The sequence below is a fragment of the Homo sapiens genome, chromosome X (genome assembly GCF_000001405.40).
Source record: "Homo sapiens chromosome X, GRCh38.p14 Primary Assembly".
NCBI classification, from domain to species: Eukaryota; Metazoa; Chordata; class Mammalia; order Primates; family Hominidae; genus Homo; species Homo sapiens.
This window is the reverse complement of record NC_000023.11, coordinates 5,225,454-5,228,587: the sequence shown is the minus strand read 5'-3', so window position 1 is coordinate 5,228,587 and position 3,134 is coordinate 5,225,454.

Here is a 3,134-nt window from a genome sequence, read left to right as displayed (position 1 = left end):
ATGCTCTCTTTCCTGCCACCATGTAAGACATGCCTTTGCTCCTCCTTCGCCTTCCACCATGATTGTGAGGACTCCCCATCCATGTGGAGCTGTGACTCCATTAAATGTCTTTTTCTTTATAAATTACCCAGTCTCGGGTATTTCTTCATAGCAGTATGAAAAAGGACTAATACAGTAGGTGTATCTATTTATGGAGTATATGAGATGTTTTAATGTACATATGCAATGTGTAAAAATCACATCGTAGAGAATGGGGTATTCATCCTCTCAAGCACTGATCTTTTGTGTTACAAGCAATCAGTTATGCTCTTTTAGTTACTTTTTAAAATATTTAGAAATGAAACAGAAAGCCTAAACATTGTTTCTTCTCTCCTGGTCTTTTAGCAATACATCTTCTCCTTGATTTTTACAAATGTTTCTCTCTCTTTTAAAAGTCCTTTCTGTTTATCTTCTTACTCAGCCTAAAATCCAAGGACCTCCATTAAAATTACTCCTTTGAGCACATGATTTTCTCTTTGCCCTTCTCCTCTCCTAGTTGCCTGAATAAACCATATATCTGGTTAAACCAGTTATTTGACCAATTTCTGACTGTACTTGAATATTTCAACATTGCCAAAAATACAGGCACACATAACATACAAAACACATAATCATGAAGAGTGATCTCACTTTATAGGCAAAAACAGGTTTATCCAATGGCTTCCCACTCTCCATAAATGCTAATATTTTTCTTTTAAATATTTGAATAAATATAAGGGGTACAAGTGCAGTTTTGCTACATGGATATATTTTAGAGTGGCACAGTCTGCACTCTAGTGTAACCATCACCAGAATAATGTACATGGTACCCACTAAGTGATTTCTCATCCATCTCTCTACTCCCACCCTCACACCCTTCTGAGCCTCCAATGTCTATTATTCCACTCTCTATGTCCATGTGTGCACATTATTTAGCTCCCTCTTATTAGTGAGAATATGTGGTATTTGAGTTTCTGTTTCTGCATTGTTTCACTTAAGATAATGACCTCCAGTTCTATGCATGTTGCTGCAAAATATATGATTTCATTCTTTTTTATAGCTGAATAGTATTCCATTTTGTATATATATAATATGCCATTTTCTCTTTCTTCCTTTCCTTTTCTTTTCTTCTTTCTTTCTTTCTTTCTCTTTTCTTTTCTTCTTTCTTTCTTTCTCTCTCTCTCTTTCCTTCCTTCCTTCCTCCTTTCTTTCTTTCTTTCTTTCTTTCTTTCTTTCTTTCTTTCTTTCTTTCTTTCGTTCGTTCGTTCTTTCTTTCTATGAAGTCTCACTCTGTCACCCAGGCTGGAGTGTATTGGTGCAATCTCAGCTCACTGCAACCTCTGCCTCCTGGGTTCAAGTGATCCTCTTGTCTCAGCCTCCTGAGTAGCTGAGATTACAGGCATCTGCCACCATGCCCAGCTAATTTTTTGTATTTTTAGTAGAGACAGGGTTTCACCATGTTGGCCAGGCTGGTCTCAAATTCCTGACCTCAAGTGAGCTGCCCACCTTGGCCTCCCAAAGTGCTGGGATTGTAGGTATGAGCCACCACACTCAACCTTTTTTTTTGAGAGGGAGCACGGTCTTGCTCTGTCACCCAGGCTGGTGTGCAGTGGCACGAGCATGGGCCACTACAGCCTACAACTCCTGGCCTCAAACAATCCCCCTGCTTCCCCCTCCCAAAGCACTAGAATTACTGGCATGAGCCATGGCATGTGGCCTATATCACATTTTCTTTCTTTCTTTCTTTTTTTTTTTCTTTGACTTCTTTCCAACTTTTATTTTAGGTTCAAGGGTTATATGTGCTGGTTTGTTCCATGGGTAAATTGTGTGGCGTGGGGGTTTGGTGTACAGACAATTTTGTCATGCAGGTAATCAGCATAAGACCCTACAGGAAGTTTTTCAATCAATCCTCACCCTCCTCCCACCCTCCACCCTCAGGTAGGTCCTGGTGTCTATTGTTCCTCTCTTTGTGTCCATGTGTACTCAGTGTTTAGCTCCCACTTATAAGTGAGAACATGCAGTATTTGGTTTTTTAATCCTGGATTAATTTGCTTAGGATAACGGCTACCAGCTTCATCCATGTTGCTGCAAAGGACGTGATCTCATTCTCATCTATGGCTGTACACTCTTCCATGGTGTGTATGTGCCACAGTTTCCTTATCCAATCCACTGTTGATGGGCATCTAGGTTGATTCCATGTCTTTGCTATTGTAAATAGTGCTGTAATGAACATACATATGCATGTATCTTTACGGTAGCGTAATGAATTTTCCTTTGGATATATATCCAATAATGGGTCTGCTGGGTTGAATGGTAGTTCTATTTAAGTTTGTTGAGAAATCTCCTGACTTCTTTCAAAAGTGGCTGAACTAGTTTACATTCCCACCAGTGGTGTATGAGCCTTCCCTTTCCTCTGCACCCTCACCAGCATCTATTATTTTTTGATTATTATTTTTTTTTTTTTTGAGATGGAGTCACGCCCTGTCGCCCAGGCTGGAGTGCAGTGGCGCGATCTCGGCTCCCTGCAAGCTCCGCCTCCCAGGTTCACGCCATTCTCCTGCCTCAGCCTCCTATGTAGCTGGGACTACAGGAGTGTGTCACCACGCCCGGCTAATTTTTTTTTTTGTATTTTTAGTAGAGATGGGGTTTCACTGTGTTAGCCAGGATGGTCTCGATCTCCTAACCTAGTGATCCGCCAGTCTTGGCCTCCCAAAGTGCTGGGATTACAGGCGTGAGCCACCGCGCCCAGCCTATTTTTTCATTTTTTAATCATAGCCATTCTGACTGGTGTGAAATGGTTTTTCACTGTGATTTTGAGTTGCATTTCCCTAATGATTAGTCATGCTGAGCATTTTTTCACATGCTTGTTGGCCATGTGTATGTTTTTCTTTTAGGAAGTGTCTGTTCATGTCCTTTGCACAGTTTTTTGTTGTTGTTGTTTGTTTGTTTGTTTGTTTTTGAGACAGAGTCTCACTCTGTCGCCCAGGCTGGAGTACAGTGGCGTGATCTCGGTTCATTACAACCTCTGTGTCCCAGGTTCAAGCAATTCTCCTGCCTCAGCCTCTTGAGTAGCAGGGACTACAGGTGTGCACAACCACGCTTGGCTAATTTTTTGT